The sequence below is a fragment of the Homo sapiens genome, chromosome 22 (assembly GCF_000001405.40).
Source record: "Homo sapiens chromosome 22, GRCh38.p14 Primary Assembly".
Taxonomy (NCBI): domain Eukaryota; kingdom Metazoa; phylum Chordata; class Mammalia; order Primates; family Hominidae; genus Homo; species Homo sapiens.
In genome coordinates, this window is record NC_000022.11 from 48052974 (window position 1) to 48070724 (window position 17751).

The window sequence follows — 17751 nt, forward strand, 5'->3', positions numbered from 1 at the left end:
CAGCCCTTGCTGGGCCTCTCCCATCTGGGAGTCAAGGCCCATGCGTCTGCTCCCGCCTTTTCAGCTTAGCCTGGGAGTGCCTTCCTCGTGCTCCAGACAACACGCTCACTCTCTCCCAATTCCAAAAGTCCAGACACACCCAGAGCTTTCCGGACCCCTGGCTTCTACTTACAGAGTTGTCTCCACTCTTGAAGGCCCAACATAAGCATCAACTCCCTCACAAACATTTTGGAATCTAAACCTCCCTCCCACAATTTACCTCTGAACCTCACTGATCCATACTTTGTTATTATTGTTATTATTATTATTATTATTATTATTGAGATGTAGTTTTGCACTTGTTGCCCAGGCTGGAGTGCAATGGCGCGATCTTGGCTCACTGAAACCTCCGCCTTCTGGGATCAAGCGATTCTCCTGCCTCAGCCTCCAGAGTAGCTGGGATTACAGGCATCTGCAACCATGCCTGGCTAATTTTTTGTAATTCTTTTTTTTTTTTTGTATTTTTAGTAGAGGTGGGGTTTCTCCATGTTGGCCAGGCTGGTGTCAAACTCCTGACCTCAGGTGATCCACCTGCCTCACCCTCCCGAAGTGCTGGGATTACAGGCGTGAACCATCGCGCCCAGCCCTCATTGATCTGTATTTGCAAACCTCAGAGCATTTGTTTCACTTGCCTGGCGTCAGCCTGCGTGTGCAAAGCGGTCCCCTGGGATACCCATCTGTCTTCTCTGCATCTCTTCTTGAGCCTGAAATATGCCTCTTGCCTGCAAAGATTCAGTACACATTTGCTGGATAGAATCAGGTCATTTCCTTTCCCTCTTGTTAGATGATGAGGGCCCTGACTGCAAGAAGTGTGTCTGCTGCTTCTCCTACTTCCCCCAATGTGTTTCTGGGATGAAGACAAGTGACAAATCAAAACTAATAACACATAGTTACCATTATCAGGCACCCAAAGGCTTCACATATGCTAGCCCCGGCTATTCAGCCAGCCAGTGGGTAGGTACTGTGGTTCCCATTTTATGGCTGTGGAGGGTGAGTGGCCACCCATTTCTGCTGCTTTCCCCTGATCAAAGAGCCCATGAATGTGGGTTGATTCACTGAGGCAAATCCAGATATGCTTGGCCTCATGTCCTGTGTTCTTTCCACGACTCGTCATTGGCACTCGCAAGGAAACCAGGCCCCAGCCACTGCCCAGGAGCTCTGCTGGGTGCCGAGTGGGGCTTTGCCAGCGAGATACACAAGACTTGTGTCTACTTGGTTCATAGCTGTGTCCCCATGGTCTGGTCCAGGCTTGGCACCGAGTAGGTCGTTAATAAATATTTTAAAATGAATAAATAGGCAGCAGAGAGCTCAAGCAGGGATGAGCAAGAATAGCGAGTTAGCATGAAGAATGAAATGAAAACCCCATGAGTCTGAAGTGCAGAGGTTTTAAAATGCACAGCCCTCAATGGGAAGCACTGACTCGTCACAGAAGTACAAAAAAAAAAAAAAATCTGGGCAATGCCGAGGCAGGAAAAACCATTTAGCATGAAATAGGAAGGGAGGAGGAACTAGCAGCAGGCATTGCACAGAAAGGAAGGAAGGGGTGAATTTATAGGAAACCCAACTGCATTATCCTGAAAGAAAGCATGGACAATTTCAGAAACGCCCAAGGCACTTCCACTCTGGATATTTACGGAGGAGGCAGGGACGTCCCTCCCAGGCAGAGCATCGGGAACAAGCCTGGGGGACTGTGCGGAGAGAGAAGATACCTGGCTCCAGCCTTTGGCCTCTGTGAACCTTGATTTCATGAGGGCGCCCAGAGCCAGCAACTGCTGTAGCCACAAACCCTTACACTAATTCCACAATAAGACAGAGATAATTGCCACAAACACACCTGTATCTGTCATTCTCCGCCGTGCTCAGGGGTTCCTGAAGCTCTCTGTTGTCATTAAAGACAGCTCAGCGTCCAGTTGCTCAGAAATATACACGGGCCCTTCTGAGCGGAGCAGAGTGGAGCTGCCGGGCTCCCGGTCCCTGGCCGGCTGGAGACAGCACATCCAGTCTCACTCCATATTTCTGCTTATTTTCTCTCTCTTCCTGTACTCCCTTTCCCAGGACAAGCTCCGCGGCCAGGAGTCTGTCTTGATTGATGGCATTTTACCTGGACCTCTCTTCTGCGGTTTTCTCCCTGATACTAGAAATGTGTGTGTGAGATTGTGTATACCTGTGTGGTTGTGTTATGTGGGTGTGTGCAAGTGTGGGTGTGTGCATGTGTGTGTGTCTGTGAGTGTATGTGTGAGAATGGGTGTGCGTGTGTGTGCATGTGAGAGTATGTAAATGTGAGTGTGAATGTATGTGTGAGTGTATGTGAATGTGAGTGAAAATGTGTGATTATGTGTGTGTATGTGTGTGGGGTGTCTATGAGTGTGAGTGTGTGTGAATGTGAATGCATGCAAGTGTGGGTGTGTGTGTGTATGTGTGAGAGAGTGGGTGTGCATATGAGAGTATGTAAATGTGTGTGTGAGAATGTGTGAGTGTATGTGTATGTGAATGTGAGTGAAAATGTGATTGTGTGTATATGTGTGTGGAGGGGTGTCTGTGTGAGAGTGAGTGTGGATGTGTGTGAATGTGTGTGAATGTGAGAGTATGTGAGTGTATATGTGTGTGTATGTGTGAATGTGAGTGAAAAGGTGTGAGTGTATGTGTGTGAGTGTGTGAGAGTATATGAGTGTATGTGTGAATGTGTGTGACTGTCAGAGTATGTAGGGGTGTGTGTGTGAATGTGAAAGTATGTATTTGTGTGAATGTGAGAGTATGTGAGTGTGTGTGTGTGTGAACGTGAGTGTGTGTGCATACATGCGCATGTGAACAGTCCATGGAGCTTAATCCCCTGGAGGAGGGATTCTACAGCATCACATGTAGAAGGCATTCTGCTCAGAGAATGGCCTCCATTTTTCCGGGAACGCACCTGTTCGTTCCTCTATCAGAGGCACCAGCTACGGCTGCGGCTGCCCCGTCCTTGGTGAATGTACAACGACGCTTCTTGGCATGAGATGCAGACAGGCCCACACTTTGGGAAAGGGGCCAGAACCCGAGATGTATGTATGTATTTCCTCGCTAAGAAGAAACCGCAGGTCTAACCATGATGTCATTAGAATGATTGTTTAGAGGCCTGGAATGAGACCATCTAATTACCAGTCCAACCTGACTCACTGGTCCTTTCAAATCCAATAGTGTTTCTTAAAATAAATGCTGAAAATGACTTCATTCAGGGAAAGGCAGGTTGTGGCCATTTAATTATGGCTACAGATTAATGAATGAATAAAATATACTCTGGCTAAATTGTGGGAATATTTTCCAATTTTTCCCTAGAAAGTAGTATTCCACTGATCTAACCTGGGACGTGGGATTTTGTCCTAAACACGGCTTTGTGAGTGCAGAAGACAAAAGGAAACCAAAGATCTCTCTCATTGACACCAGGCCAGGGAAGGGCAGGCACCCACCCTCACCTGTAAATTCAGGTCTGGGGGTCCGGGTGCCTGCTCCGATGCCATGGAGAGGCGTTCTGTAAACTACAGCTGTGCTGAGAGCCTCATCTACACCAAGCCTTGGATCAGATGCCTCCATATTCCATTTCATTCATTTCTCGTGGCATATTTGGAATGGATAGTAATGTCCTAGCTTTACTGCTAAAGAAATTGAAGTGCAGAAGGACTCACCTAAGCTCACGTAGTTTGTGTCAGAGCCCAAATCTGAACTCAAGTCATCAGACTCCAAAAGATTCTTCCTAAAATAATGCAGCTCCTTCTCACAGATGCAAAACCTTTGCTAGAAAAAAAAAAAGGAGAGAAGGTGATGATGTTAAATCATTCATCAGACAAAGACACTCGTGAAGGCCCACTTTATGAGAATATCTGAATGGTGCAGGGAACACACAGATGAATAAGACTCAGCTCTGCCCTCACGTAAGCAGCGTCTAATGGTGAACTCAGATGGACACCAATGCATCCCCACGACATTAAAGGGATCATAAAAAATTAATAGAATTATGTGTCCTGCAAACAGCAAGGACAGGGACATTCATATCTAACAGTTGCAGGGAAGTTTTTCCAAAGGATAAGCTGCTCTTGCTGGCTGGGTTATGAAGGAGAATTGAAATTTGACAGATGGAGGTTTGGAAAGCCCTGAAGAGAGAGAGAGAGAAGGAGGTGGCGTGAGCAGTGTGGGCGGGCGGTGAGAGAGGAGGGCAGATTTGGGCCTGTGTAAGAGCCACACTCAGGCTCAAGCCCACCCCATCCCATGTGACCTCCAGGGAGTAAAAGTGGGATGCAGGTCACGTGTGCCAGGATGCTCAGTGACAGATCGAGAGATCTGCAAGCGGGCCGCTCCTTCCCCCGACAGGAGTTCCTGAGCACCTGCAGGGAACCAGCGCTGGGCCTGACGCGAGGCTCCTTTTCTAGTGAGTCACCTCAAGTGAGGACAGCACAGGCAACGCTGGACACAGGAGGACACCCAGAGCGTCTGGGAAGGCACCTGAGCTGGGAGCTCAAGGCAGGAGAGGAAATAGGCAGCAAGGGAGAAGGGTGTCTTTCTGGGACAAAAGAGTCGCACCTGCAGAGGCACAGAGGTGTGAGAGAGAAAGGACCACGAGCGGCCAAGGGCAGGCGGTACACAGAGCTCCGGCAGGAGATGGAGGAGAGGGTGGCAAAGCCACAGTTCCTGCAGTGTGGCCCGGGCTGTGCAGTGGCAGGTGCCCCTGACACCACGGGAGCTGCTGAGAGGGCAGCTGCGTGGGCAGATGTTTATCCCAGAGAGGGCAGCAATACAAGGGTTGGAGGGAGGTGGGGAGATCCGCTTCAGGCTGTGATGTTGGCTTAGGCTGGAGGGGAAAGAGCCCGGAGCTGGGGCAGAACTCGGGTTGTCCAGGAGGCGACACTGAATTAGTGTCTGGGGTCAGATCCATAGAGGGCAGGAGTCAGTGCCTGCGTGGCTGGCTCGGTGAGGAAGAGAGGGGTGGGAGTGATGCATGAACTCTCTGAGGCTCCCACCGCAGCAGCTCCACTCCCAAGTATGGGGCTGGCAGGAGTCTCAGGACCAAGGGAGGATGGTGAGTTGGTTAGTTAAGTTTGAGCCGGTTGAGTTGAGATGTCTGCGTAGAGTCAGGTTCCACCATCACGAGGCATTTGGCAGATGGGCTGTGAGGTGAGGGGATCCAAGGCTTGGAAACAAAGTTTTGGGAGCAGTCACTGCCTGGCTGAGAAACTCACCCCAAAACAGCATGTCCCATCCACCCCAGTCCACCCAAAACAAGAAGGAAGATGTAGTTAAAGAGATAGAAAAGATCCATGTCATTATCAGATAAGCATCAAATGAAAATTGCATGAGCAGACATATGCTTAAGGATTTCTTGGAAAAATACAGCTGATGGGGTAGGATTCCCAGAGAAACTTAATCAGAGAAAAGCAGAGTCCCCAAAACATGTAAACAAAACAAAACAAAAAAAGGCTGTTTTATTTCCCCTAAAGAAAGTTACAGAGAAACTACAAGGGGAGAGACAGCCAAGAAAGGATCAAGGGGGAAGGAGTGGGAAAGGGTTTGGTGGAGGGGGAGAGCACTGTGCAAATGTCAAGGTATAAAAGAACATGTGGACCTAGGGCTCCCTCCTCCCAGCCTGGTCCCATTGCTTCTGCAAAGCTGCAGAGATAGTTGCACCCAGGTAGAAGCCCCAGGAAGTTCTTTCCAAACAAAGTAAACTTCCCACCTGGAGAGAAACTCCAGGGTAAAGATAAGGTTGCGGGGGAGGGCGGGAAGAAGGCCAAGTCCAGGCCAGCTTCTGCCCAGCAAAAGCACCAGCAGGGAGCACTCCCAAAAGACAGGCAGCAGCTGACTTGGATGAGGCACAGGCTAAATCCACCAGGATGGATGCTTCTCTGAGTCTCAGGTACAGGAAGGTCTTAAGGTGGGCTCTGTGGCCAGAGGAGCAGGGTAGGGTCCTCATGAACAAGAACCCCCACCCTGGGAGGACTCACATCTTCTACACCTGGCTACTCAGAGTGTGGGCTGTGGACCAGCAGCCTGACCTCCCCCAGGAGTGTGTTAGACCTGCATGACCTAAGCCCAGCACCCACGTTTCAACAATATCTCCTATCCTCTCCAAGCCCTGTGCACAGTGAGGATTGGGAAGCACAGCTGATGCAGAGAAGGACCATGGCCCCGGGCGGAGTCAGCTGGAGCAGCTCACACTCCCTTAGGGGAAGCAGCTTTGTAGGTCTGGGGGCAAAGGATATGAACAAACATTTCCCAAAAGAAGACATTTATGCGGCCAATAAACATATGAAAAAAAGCTCATCATCACAGGTCATTAGAGAAATGCAAATCAAAACCACAATGAGATACCATCTCATGCCAGTTTTAATGGCAATAATTAAAAAATCAGGAAACAACAGATGCTGGAGAAGATGTGAAGAAATAGGAACGCTTTTACACACTGTTGGTGGGAGTGTAAATTAGTTCAACCATTGTGGAAGACAGTGTGGCGATTCCTCAAGGATCTAGAACTAGAAATACCATTTGACTCAGAAATTCCATTACTCGGTATATGCCCAAAGGATTATAAATCATTCTATTATAAAGGCACATGCACATGTATGTTTATTGCAGCACTATTCACAATAGCAAAGACTTGGGAACCAACCCAAATGCCCATCAATGATAGACTGGATAAAGAAAATGTGGCATATATATACCATGGAATACTATGCAGCCATGAAAAAGGATTTCATTTGCTTTGCAGGGACATGGATGAAGCTGGAAACCATCATTCTCAGCAAACTAACACAGGAACAGAAAACCAAACACCGCGTGTTCTCACTCATAAGTGGGAGTTGAACAATGAGAATGCATGGACACAGGGAGGGGAACATCACACACCGGGGCCTGTTGGGGAGTTGGGGGCTAGGGGAGGGATAGCATTAGGAAAAATACCTAATGTAGATGACAGGTTGGTGGGTGCAGCAAACCACCATGGCGCGTATATACCTATGTAACAAACCTGCATGTTCTGCACATGTACCCCAGAACTTAAAGTATAATAATAATAAAACAATAATTTTTATTATTTGCTTAAATGGTATGTAATTTTATATTGAGATACACAAAAAGACATAAATACAAAATATGGAATATTTAAGTCACACAATAAATTTGACATTATTAAAAAAAAAAGGAGAAGAAGGTCTGGGGGTCATGTGGCCAGAGCTAAAACCCCAATTCTCCTCTCTCAGGTCATGTGAATTCAGGAAAGCCTCATGACCCTTCAAAAGGCTGGAGAAGTTGAGGTGGTGAAGCTGCTTTCCTCAGGGGTTGACTGGAGAATTGAGTGAGGCAGCCCCTGCAAAGGCAGCATCCTGGTGGCCAGGGCAGCTATGGCCACATGTGCCTTATCAATGGTCACCAGCTATAGACAGCACCCACCTGCCCCCTCACTGCACACCCATGCCTTCCTGGAAACACAAATCCACTGGCTCCAGGCACCGCCTTTGGAATAATCCCTCACACGTGAACGGCACTGCCAGATCTCTCTGTGTTCATTCTCACACTCCCTGCAGACCCCCTCGACACCCCCATGGTTTCTCAGGAAGGAGATGAGATTGTTTGTAAGAATATGCACGCACACATTTTCAATCAGCCGGGATTCTTAGCACGTGGGTTTGCATGCCTTTTCCAAAACTCTGCCTCTGAACTTGGAGGAGAACCTGCTCAGTTCACAATGGCCTGTGCAGGGGCTGGGGTGACCCTGTGTTTAGCTAGAACATCAAGACGTGAGAGTCTTTTGAAGTAGCCACCCCTGGGGGTCAATCACACCGACTGCAACACTAGGCAGACTCCTTAGAAATAGGAAAACGGGGAAAGCTCCAGTATCATGACAGGAGGCTCACCTAAGCTTGATACCCAAACTGGTTTCTCGGGAGCATCTTGAAAGCAGTGGCTTAGTCTGGATCCTCATAGTGTTCTGATGCCTAAGGAATAGTTTATATGTGGAAAATGCTCAGTATATGCTTGCTAAATGAAATTATGAAAGAGAAGAGAAAGCTACCTAGTATTTATAAAGCCATGTACATGCATATACAGCTATTTCCTGGGTGGAGGAGCCTCTTCCCCTGGCTCTATAGGAGTTATTAGTTCAGATTCTTGGAATGTGGAATTTTCATCCTTTGCCTGAAAGCATAGATATATTTCTCCCAACAACAGCCCCAGTCACGATCCAGTGGACCAACCTGAAGTGACCCACCCAGCCCACATTGGCAAGTCTGTGAGGGCTGTGGACAAGGAGACACGTTGTCTTCCTACATTCTGTAGACAAAGGCAGTATTAGGCAAGATTGCCTGGCACTTCTGCTTCAGTAATTGTCATCGTTCAGATTTTCCCCACTGTTTAACACACACGTGAAGATACAGTGAGAAGAAACCCTTTCATTTAAAAATGATATAGCATGTACACACACCGTATTACTGTATTCTGTGTGTTGAAATACAGCAAATCTTTGTTGGGAACTTTCTATTTTTCCAAAACAATGGAATAGCCAGTTTACACTCATTCTGCATGAAGTTTTATCAACTACAAAGGAGGAAAGAATAAAACATCTATGTGTCTCTAACATCCCAGAAAGCCAGAGCTGGGAGGGACATTAATGATTATAGAGTCCAAAAAATGTTTAATGTGCTCAGGAGACTGCTATAAAACGGTGATAAATTAAGCTTGAGACAATGAAAATTATTAGCTTGTAAGAAAGCAGACACTTTGTCATCCTACATTCTGTAGACAGAGGCAGCATTAGGCACCGGTGTGTCCGGGCAAGTGTGGGAGGAAGCGAGTGGATGGTGAGAATTCTTTTTCTCCCATTGGAAGGAAATGTCATTGCCAGGTTGTGAAAGGCAGAAGCTCCCCCAGGCTGGCATAGCAACAGCATCCCTCAGAAGCTAGACTGAGCATTGTTGACCTGGCTCAAAGCCCTCACTACAGATTAGGAAGCAGCTGGAGAGATGGAGAGCCCCTGTGCAAATGCCCAAAGATGGGTTCAGGAAGCAGAATTCCCTTTTCCTTCCTGCAATCTTGCCGCTGGTCAATGTCACTTCAGTTCTTTCTTCCTGAGCCCCTGCTGTGTTTCAGGTCTTCTCCGGGGACTCACAGGGTATGTGGAAAGAAGAGGAACTGCTGCGTTCCAGGTGGGCACACTTTCCATTTTGCTGGCTGATGTGTTTGGCTCCCCGAAAATGACTGCACTAATTTTATCCCACTGGTAGTATTGGAGAGTGCATTTTCACACACCTTTTCCAATAATGGAGACAGTGTGAATTTCTCATTTTGATGGGTGAAAATGTGTATACATTTGAGGTCTTAAATTTGCACATTCTTGAGGATGGGGGAGGACGAGATTGTTTACAAGAACATGTACACACATGCGCACACACACGCACACACATGCACACACGTGCACACACATATGCACACACATGCACACAAGCATACACACATGCACACACATGCACACGTGCGCGCACACACACACACATGCACACAAGCATACACACATGCACACAAACATAAGCACACACACATGCACACAAGCATACACACATGCGCACACATAAACATGCACACATGCGTCCACATTTTCTTTTTTTTTTTTGAGACGGAGTCTCGCTCTGTCGCCCAGGCTGGAGTGCAGTGGCGCAATCTCGGCTCACTGCAAGCTCCGCCTCCTGGGTTCACACCATTCTCCTGCCTCAGCCTCCCAAGTAGCTGGGACTACAGGCGTCCGCCATCGCGCCCGGCTAATTTTTTGTATTTTTAGTAGAGACGGGGTTTCACCATGGTCTCGATCTCCTCACCTCGTGATCCGCCCACCTCGGCCTCCCAAAGTGCTGGGATTACAGGCGTGAGCCACTGCGCCCGGCCCACGCGTGCACATTTTCAATCAGCCGGGATTCTTAGCGTGTGGGTTTGCATGCCTTTTCCAAAACTCTGCCTCTGAACTTAGAGGAGCACCTGCTTAGCTCACAATGGCCTGTGCAGGGGCTGGGGTGACCCTGGGCTTAGTTAGAACATCAACACATGAGGGTCTTTTGAAGTAGCCACCACTGAGAGTTAATCACACTGACTGCAACACTATACAGACTCCTTAGAAATCGGAAAGCAGGGAGAGCTCCAGGATCATGACAGGAGGCTGGTGTAAGCTTTATACCCAAACTGGAAAAGGCCAAAATTGAACAAATAAATGAAGAGAAAGAAAAATAAATTGCTTTGGGAAGTCTGGCCACAGATTCAGTGCTTTTTCTATCAAACTACCAATAACATTATTCACAGAATTAGAAAAACTATTTAAAAATTCATATGGAACCAAAAAAGCACCCAAGTAGCCAAGGCAATCCTAAGCAAAAAGAACAAAGCTGGAGGCATCACATTACCCAACTTCAAAGTCTACCACAAGTCTACAGTAACCAAAACAGCATGGTACAAAAACAGACACATAGTCCAACGGAACAGAGTACAGAGCCCCCAGATAAAGCCACACACCTACAACCATCTGATCTTTGACAAAGTTGACAAAAACAAGCAATGGAGAAAGAGCTCCCTATTAACAAATGGGGTGGGATAACTGGCTGGCCATATGCAGAAGACTGAAACTGGATCCCTTCCCTAAACTACGTACAAATATCAACTCAAGATAGATTAAAGACTTAAATGTAAAACACAAAACTATAAAAACCCTGAAGGATAGCCTAGGGCATGGGACCCTGAGATCTGCCACGGGGACATTCATGGATGGGCCCAAGAGCCTGAAACTCCTGAACTCTTAGGGTTAGCAATGGAAGCCCTTTCCCTTTGGCTGGAGAATGTGCAATGACCTCACCTGAAGCAAATGTCTCAGGTGGTTCTGTGCCTCTTCTGGTGCATCCCACCGGCCCCTCAATGCCTCTAGGTCAATGACCAGGTCACAATCTCAGGCCAGACAAGGAAAAGAAGTCCAGACCCTGCCCTGGCAGGAGCTAGCTGGCATGGCAAAGGCATGCAGGGCCTAGTAGATACATACTGTTAGAACCCAGCATGGAGCGTGATAGTGAGTGATGAGTGTGGGGCCCAGGGGAGGCCGAAGGCAAGGTCGGGGAAGAAGAACGTGTTGATGTGGGGGTGCTCACCTATGACTTGGAATCTTTGCAAGGACAGGGGCCTCTGCAGCTGGTTGTGCCAGTCCGTTGAAGCCGTTTTTTTGAAGCCTAGAAGAGGGACAGGCAACAGGAATGAGTGGAGATGGCAGAACTCCCTTGTTAATAGAGAGGTCTGGGCCAGAAGGCTAAGGCAAGTGTGGATGGGAGGTGGATTTATTCTGAGACGCGTGGGGCACCAGCCTCTCTAAGGAGCACAGTGATGTCTGTCCTCGAAGGCCACGGCTGGCAGCCAGAGGCTCTGCCATGGTGTGGAAAGGGACAATGGGACCCAGAGCAGCACAAGCTGGGGAACAATGACCCTTGGACGCAAGGTGGATACAGCCACCATCATGGGTGCCAAGGCCAGCATGGCCATTCATGTATGACCACAGGGACCTCTGGAGCTGGCCAATGGGTCACTGTGCTCCTGGGGGTGAGGGAATGACAGCCAGTGAGGACACTGCCTGTCGTACCTCTATCATAATTTTCAAAAACGTAAGAGTTACAAACAACTTGGAAGTAGACTGATGTCAGTTGCCACAGTGAATAACGATGATCCTACCCTAATATCCAGACCTCAGTCAGTTTATAGTCCCCGGAGCTCACTGCTGAGTTTTCCAAGGATATGGATGAGGAAGATGTGAAGTTAGAAAGAACAGAAAAACAACAGCCCAGAGTTTCAAAATAGTCTGGGGTTGATGAAGAACTGCAAGCTGATGAGCGCTGCTGATAACGGATGGTGGCTCCAATGCACGCAACAGTTGGAGTGAGTGCTTAACACAGTTAGTGTCCAATCATTAAAGTTACCATAAAAGGTGGGTACTATTATTACCCCCCTTTTTCAGTGAGAAAGATGGAGACATTGAGAGGTTAAGGTGGGTTGCCCAAGGTCAAAGCATCCATCTTTACCTCAGTTGCTCCTGCCCACCATGCTGTGAAATGGGAGGTGCACATAGTCAGGGTCTGGAAAAGGTTGGCTGGATGGATGGTGAGGAAGAGGTCTCACTTCGCAGGGAAAAGAGAAAGCCTCGGCCATCATGGCAGACAGTACAAGCTGTCACCAGAGTAGACTGAGTTTGGTGAGGCTTGGAGATGCAGCTCAGATGGGGCAAACATCGCTGGAGGAGACAAGAGCTGTCCACAGTGACCGGGAGGGAGAACCCATGTCTGGGCCCCGCGCCTGCTCCGCAGCTTCCAGGGACATGGCTAGGCTCTGCTGGAGTCTCCTTGACATTTGGAAATTTCTGGGCCCATTGTGCTGTCTTCTGGAATTTTTGGTGCCATCCAATAATTTAGAGAGCTACGAGGTCATCAAGCCTTACAGAATTTCTGAAGAAAAAGAGGGCGTTTGCAAAATGAGGGCATTGCCCCTCTTGCCGAAGAGAAGAGCAAGGAACAAATAGGTTAATTAATTTTTCCTGAGGTCCCACCAAGAGTCAACTGCATAACTGGATAAGAACATTTCACTCTAATGATTTTATGAAGGAGGTACTCTGTGTCCACCTTCACATTTTCCAAGTCACCAGGGCACTCCCGCTGCACCTCGGTCCAGGCCTGCATCCACGCCTCGCACCAACTATTCCACTTGAAGCTGTCAGTGCTGTCTTAAGATTGATGAAATCCCCTCAAACATGCGATTTCATTTGATCCACAGAGGGCTGGAGCAGACGGAGGGCAGGAGCACACGGAGGGCAGGAGCACACGGAGGGAGAGGAGCACACAGTTGAGGGAATATAGAGGGAAGCTGGGGGAGGCGGAGGAGAGGTGGGGCAGGACCAGGCACTGGTTCTCTCTACTGCATAGGAGTCTGATCTCCGCTGCCCGGTGGCTCCTGGCTGTGGGCTCTCAGGTGCTCAGGTGCTTACGTGGGTGCTGCTGTGCTCACCCCAGCAAGTCACTCGGGAACCTGGCCAACTGCCTGCGGGGCCTGCTGCCCAGCTTCAGATGCCTGGGAGGCAGCCACTGAGCCATGAGAAGATGCTTCCTGGACCAGACAAGAAACAGCGGGAGGTGGTGGTTGGGGGAAGTGGAGTTCTGAGATATATGGAGGATAGATTATACCCAGTATGCTCACTGCTCCTTGGCACATGGATCTACTGGGGCTCTCAGAGGCAAGCACAGGTTTCACCCCCAGTGCTGCCAGAAACTGCACCTGCCTCCTCCTCTCAGCCTGGCCAACTCCAATTCAGCCAGGAGGTCTCCTGTTTCTCACCACTGCCTGCTGAAGTCTTCCTGTCTGTCGAGGCCCCAGAGGGCTGGTGGAAGCCATTCTCCGCGCCGAGACCATGGTGTACTCACTTCTGCACAGTGGCTCTCTGTGCTATAATGTACCCATCTGTCTCTGCTGTTTTGGGTGCAGCGCAGCCTCTATCCTGCTCGCAAAGTACTCTGATGCCATCCACGTTTCTGGGGAGGTGCGTCCCTCAGTGAGTGTCCCCTGAGTGTGGGGATGTTTGAATGAGTGAGTGAATGACTGCATTGCCAGCCTGCAGCTCGGGGGTGACGTACACTGGGTGCATAATAAGCGTCCCTTCCATGAGTGTTTGAGGGACTCAGCTGTGACTCCAGCCCTTGGCTATGCTTCTTTAGCAAAGGGAGCCCTTCTGTGTCTGCCTCGGCAGTGGCTATGACCGTGTGACCAAGGGCCCCTCTAGCCCCCACAGAGGGCTGAACAAGGGTCCCGAAAGGGGACCTACATCAGGTCTGAATTCCTGGCCCCTGTAAATGCCACCTTATGTGGCAAAAAGGACTCTGAAGATGTGATGACATCGAGAAGCTTGAGCTGGGGAGATCTTCCTGGATTATCTAGATGCATCCTAAGGATGACATCACAGGCATCCTTACAAGAGGGGGGCCGAAGGAGAGGTCCTACAGAAGAAGAGAGGGCAGTATGGCGGCTGAAGCGAGGTGCCATGCTGGGGCTTGAAGAAGGAGGAAGCGGCTGTGGGCCAAGGAACTTCAATCCAGAAGCTGGAGAAGCAAGAAACAAATTATCTCCTAAAGCCTCCAATAGGAGTCAGTCCTGCCGATGCCTCGATTTCAGCTCATTGACGTGGATTTCAGATTTCTGACCTCCAAACCTAGGGGAGCGAGTGTGCGTGGCTTTAAGGCAGCCAGCTTGGGGTAATTTGTCATGGCAGCATAGGTGGGTGTCACACACTCCTGCCTGGCCCCTTCTCCTCATGTGGGAAGAAGTGGCCGGGACACCTGTGCCTCCTCTGGGCCATGGACAGGCACCTGGAGCTGCTCTCCTGCTGGGTGGGGCCTCCCAGCTTTCCAAGCCCTGCTCGTCCTTCGTAAGTCCATGGGCCAAGTCCTCGGCATTGTAAATTAAACTCTAAGGACAGCATTGGCTTCTTCCCTGACTCGGAGGCTGTGACTCTCACAAAGCCCAGGGTAGGGGGAGGTGGCCCCTGTCCCCAGACCGCATGGCCTCGGTGGATGCCACCCTGTCTCTACCATCACTACCCAACAGCAAAAGCTATGTGTTCCTTTGACAACGATGTCACAGTAAGCTTGCTTCTGTGTCTTAGTCATTAACCTTAGGACTGTCTTCTCCTTCTGGCCATTAAACTTTCTATTTACCAGATTATTCTCAATCGATGTCATGACGAGCAAAAATCGACGTAGTTAGACATGTGCGCAGATGTGTCCAGGCACTTATTTCTTTTGAATTTGTTGCATGAGTAAAAGGACCACACAGAGCCAGGCTTATATTTCTCGAGGTTACCATCATATGTATATTTGCTACCTGCAGAAGGAAAGGTCTTAAAAAGCCACAGTCATCTTCATTTCTATTGGAAGTAACCTGACTGTTAGTGAAAAGCTGGGTTATCTGTCCACCTATCTGAGCAGTCTGACCCTGCCAGGAACACTGGCTTGGCCCTTCCAAGGCTGCAGCATGGTGGGAAGGGAGGCCCTGGTGCCTGAGTGATGAGGGTCATGGCAAATTTCACAAACAACTGTCCCCTAGAATCACACTGAAATATCTGGGTTCCTTCCACCGGGTCCTTTACTTCTCCTCCTAGCTGCCAACGCGATCTGTCCACTATTAACAGCTCAGCAGATGGTGCATAAAATAGGAAGCCATTTCCAAAACTACATAAACTCCCCAACTCTGAGAGGCACATAAAGTCTGATTAATCATCTGGAACAGAAGCTTCAACCTCCAGCTCATCGAAAATGTGATTATTTCTGTCCATGTTTGAATATTTTCTGGAATAGCAAGAACATGCATATCCAGGAGATGACAGCTTCTGGCTGGGCGAGAATGGAGAGCGATTCCCCTCCGCTGGCCCATCGTGAGGGCTGCCCCTGAATCCTCATTTCTTTCTCACTTCTCTCTTTTTTGTTAACCACCTACGAATGCCCCGGCCAAGCTCAGTGTGTGCCTCGTGGAGAGCACACAACATATAGTTTAGCGCTTGCCAGTCTCCCGAGGCTGCTGTAATAAATTATCATGAGAAATGTATTCTTTCACAGATTTGGAGGCCAGAAGGCAGTACTCCCTCCAAACGCTCCAGGGAGAATCCTTCCTGCCCTGCCCAGCATCTGGTGGCTTGGCGTTCCTGGGCTTGTGCTAGTGCCGCATCCGTCTCTCCTCCGTCTTCAGAAGGACTTCTTCTCTGTGTCCCACCTCTTCACCTCTCTCTCTCTCTCTTCGCCTGGTAAGGACGCATGTCATTGAATCTAGGGCTCACCCTAATCCAGGACGATCTCATCCTGAGATCCTCAACTTCATTACATCCACAGAGACGTGACTGCCAGATAAAATCACCTTCACAGATTCTTTAAGGGGCCACTACTCAGCCCCTACAGCATCCAATCTAGTCAGCCTGCTGTTGCTGGCCCAGATGCATTTACTTCTTGGAGAAGAAAATTACCATCATGTTTAAAAAAGTGAATATGCACGGCTGTGGGTGAGCATAAGGAGCCCCGAGTTGGATTCTGAGAGGAGGCACCTGGCTGACTCCTGCAGGGGCTGTGTGTTTCACTCTAGCTCCTGGACGTTGGCCACCACCACCCGGCGTCAGTGTCCTCATGCAGGACTGGGGTGCCTTGAACAACCGAACTTTATTCTCTCAAAGTCCCAGAGGCTGGAAGTCCAAGATCATGGTGTTGGCAGGGTTGGTTTCTTCTGTGAACGTAAGTTATCTGAAAAGGAATTCAGAGGAAAGAGATTTTATTCCAGCAAACAATTTGCAAACCCGGGAGACACAACATTCCCTTCTGGAGAACAAAGGGAAGGCTCAGGTTTTATAACAGACCAGGTTCCCCATCAGGTCTGCTTATGCAAATGAAGGATTGAAATCCACTGAGTTCTGATTGGTTGAGGCAGGTGAGCTCTTGATTGGTTGGTTCAGGTGAGCACTGGTGTCCCACAGCTGAATAGAGGTGGGGGTTTTCAAGGCACTCAGAGTACAAGTGTGACCTCTAGTCAGCAAAGTCTGTTTGGCTCTGTTTTAGGCCCAATTAGCCACTTGGGATCCATCTTGAAGGACTGGCTCCTTCAGGTTCACATTTGTGCACACTTTGAAGGCCTCTCTCCTGGCCTGGTAGATGCTGTCTTCTCCCTAGGCCTCACATGGGCATCCCTCTGTGGGTGTCTGTGTCCTCATCTCTTCTTCTTAGTCCTGTTGGGTTAGGTCCCACTGTAAAACCTCATTTTACCTATTTAATTGCTTCCTTAAAGCCTCTAGCTCCAAATATGGTCACCATGTGAAGTACTGGGGGTTGGGACTTCAACATACACGTTTGAGGGGCCATAATTCAGCCCCAAACATCCCCTAAAGCAATCCTACAAGTGTGTATCCTTGCTCCAAAATCACCTAACACGCATGAAGCCCCTGCTGGGGGCCTTCCTTGTGCTGGGGATGGAAGGCAAGGGAGCGAGGCATTCAGCCTCATTGGTGGCCTTAGTGGAGATGCCGTTGAATGATAGAGGCTGAGTGCACCAGCTGTCCCATGACCCACCCGTGGGGGTTCAAGGAAGGGAGGACCATCCTTGAGATGCCAGGTGTAGCCATCTGACCTCAGGAGAAGGCAGGGACACACGCAGTGGTGCCAGCTGGTTATCTTACAGGCTCTGAGAAGTGCTGCAACGTAGGAAGAAAGAAGTTCCCAGATGTCACCTACTCTCCCCCAGACCCAGACCTTATCTCACAGTCCAGCTGGCAGCCTAAACAAGGACTGTTAGATTTTAAAAACAAGGCCGGGCGCGGTGCCTCACGCCTATAATCCCAGCACTTTGGGAGGCCAAGGCGGGCAGATCACAAGGTCAGGAGATTGAGACCATCCTGGCTAACACAGTGAAACCCTGTCTCTACTAAAAATACAAAAATTTAGCTGAGTGTGGTGGCGGGCGCCTGTAATCCCAGCTACTCGGGAGACTGAGGCAGGAGAATCACTTGAACCTGAGAGGTGGAGGTTGCAGTGAGCTGAGATTGCACCATTGCACTCCAGCCTGGGTGACAGAGCGAGACTCTGTTTCAAAACAAAACAAAACAAAACAAAACAAAAACAAACAAAAAAAGCACAGGATGCTGATTCAAGTTCAAGTTCAGAT

General features: G+C 49.1%; 1 annotated feature.

Annotated features, from left to right (window-relative positions):
• Positions 17106-17306: a silencer, noted in NCBI's record as "peak4509 fragment used in MPRA reporter construct". NCBI's record gives its function as "represses an SCP1 promoter by STARR-seq MPRAs in K562 erythroleukemia cells {active_cell/tissue: K562}" and the evidence as "EXISTENCE:reporter gene assay evidence [ECO:0000049][PMID:32103011]".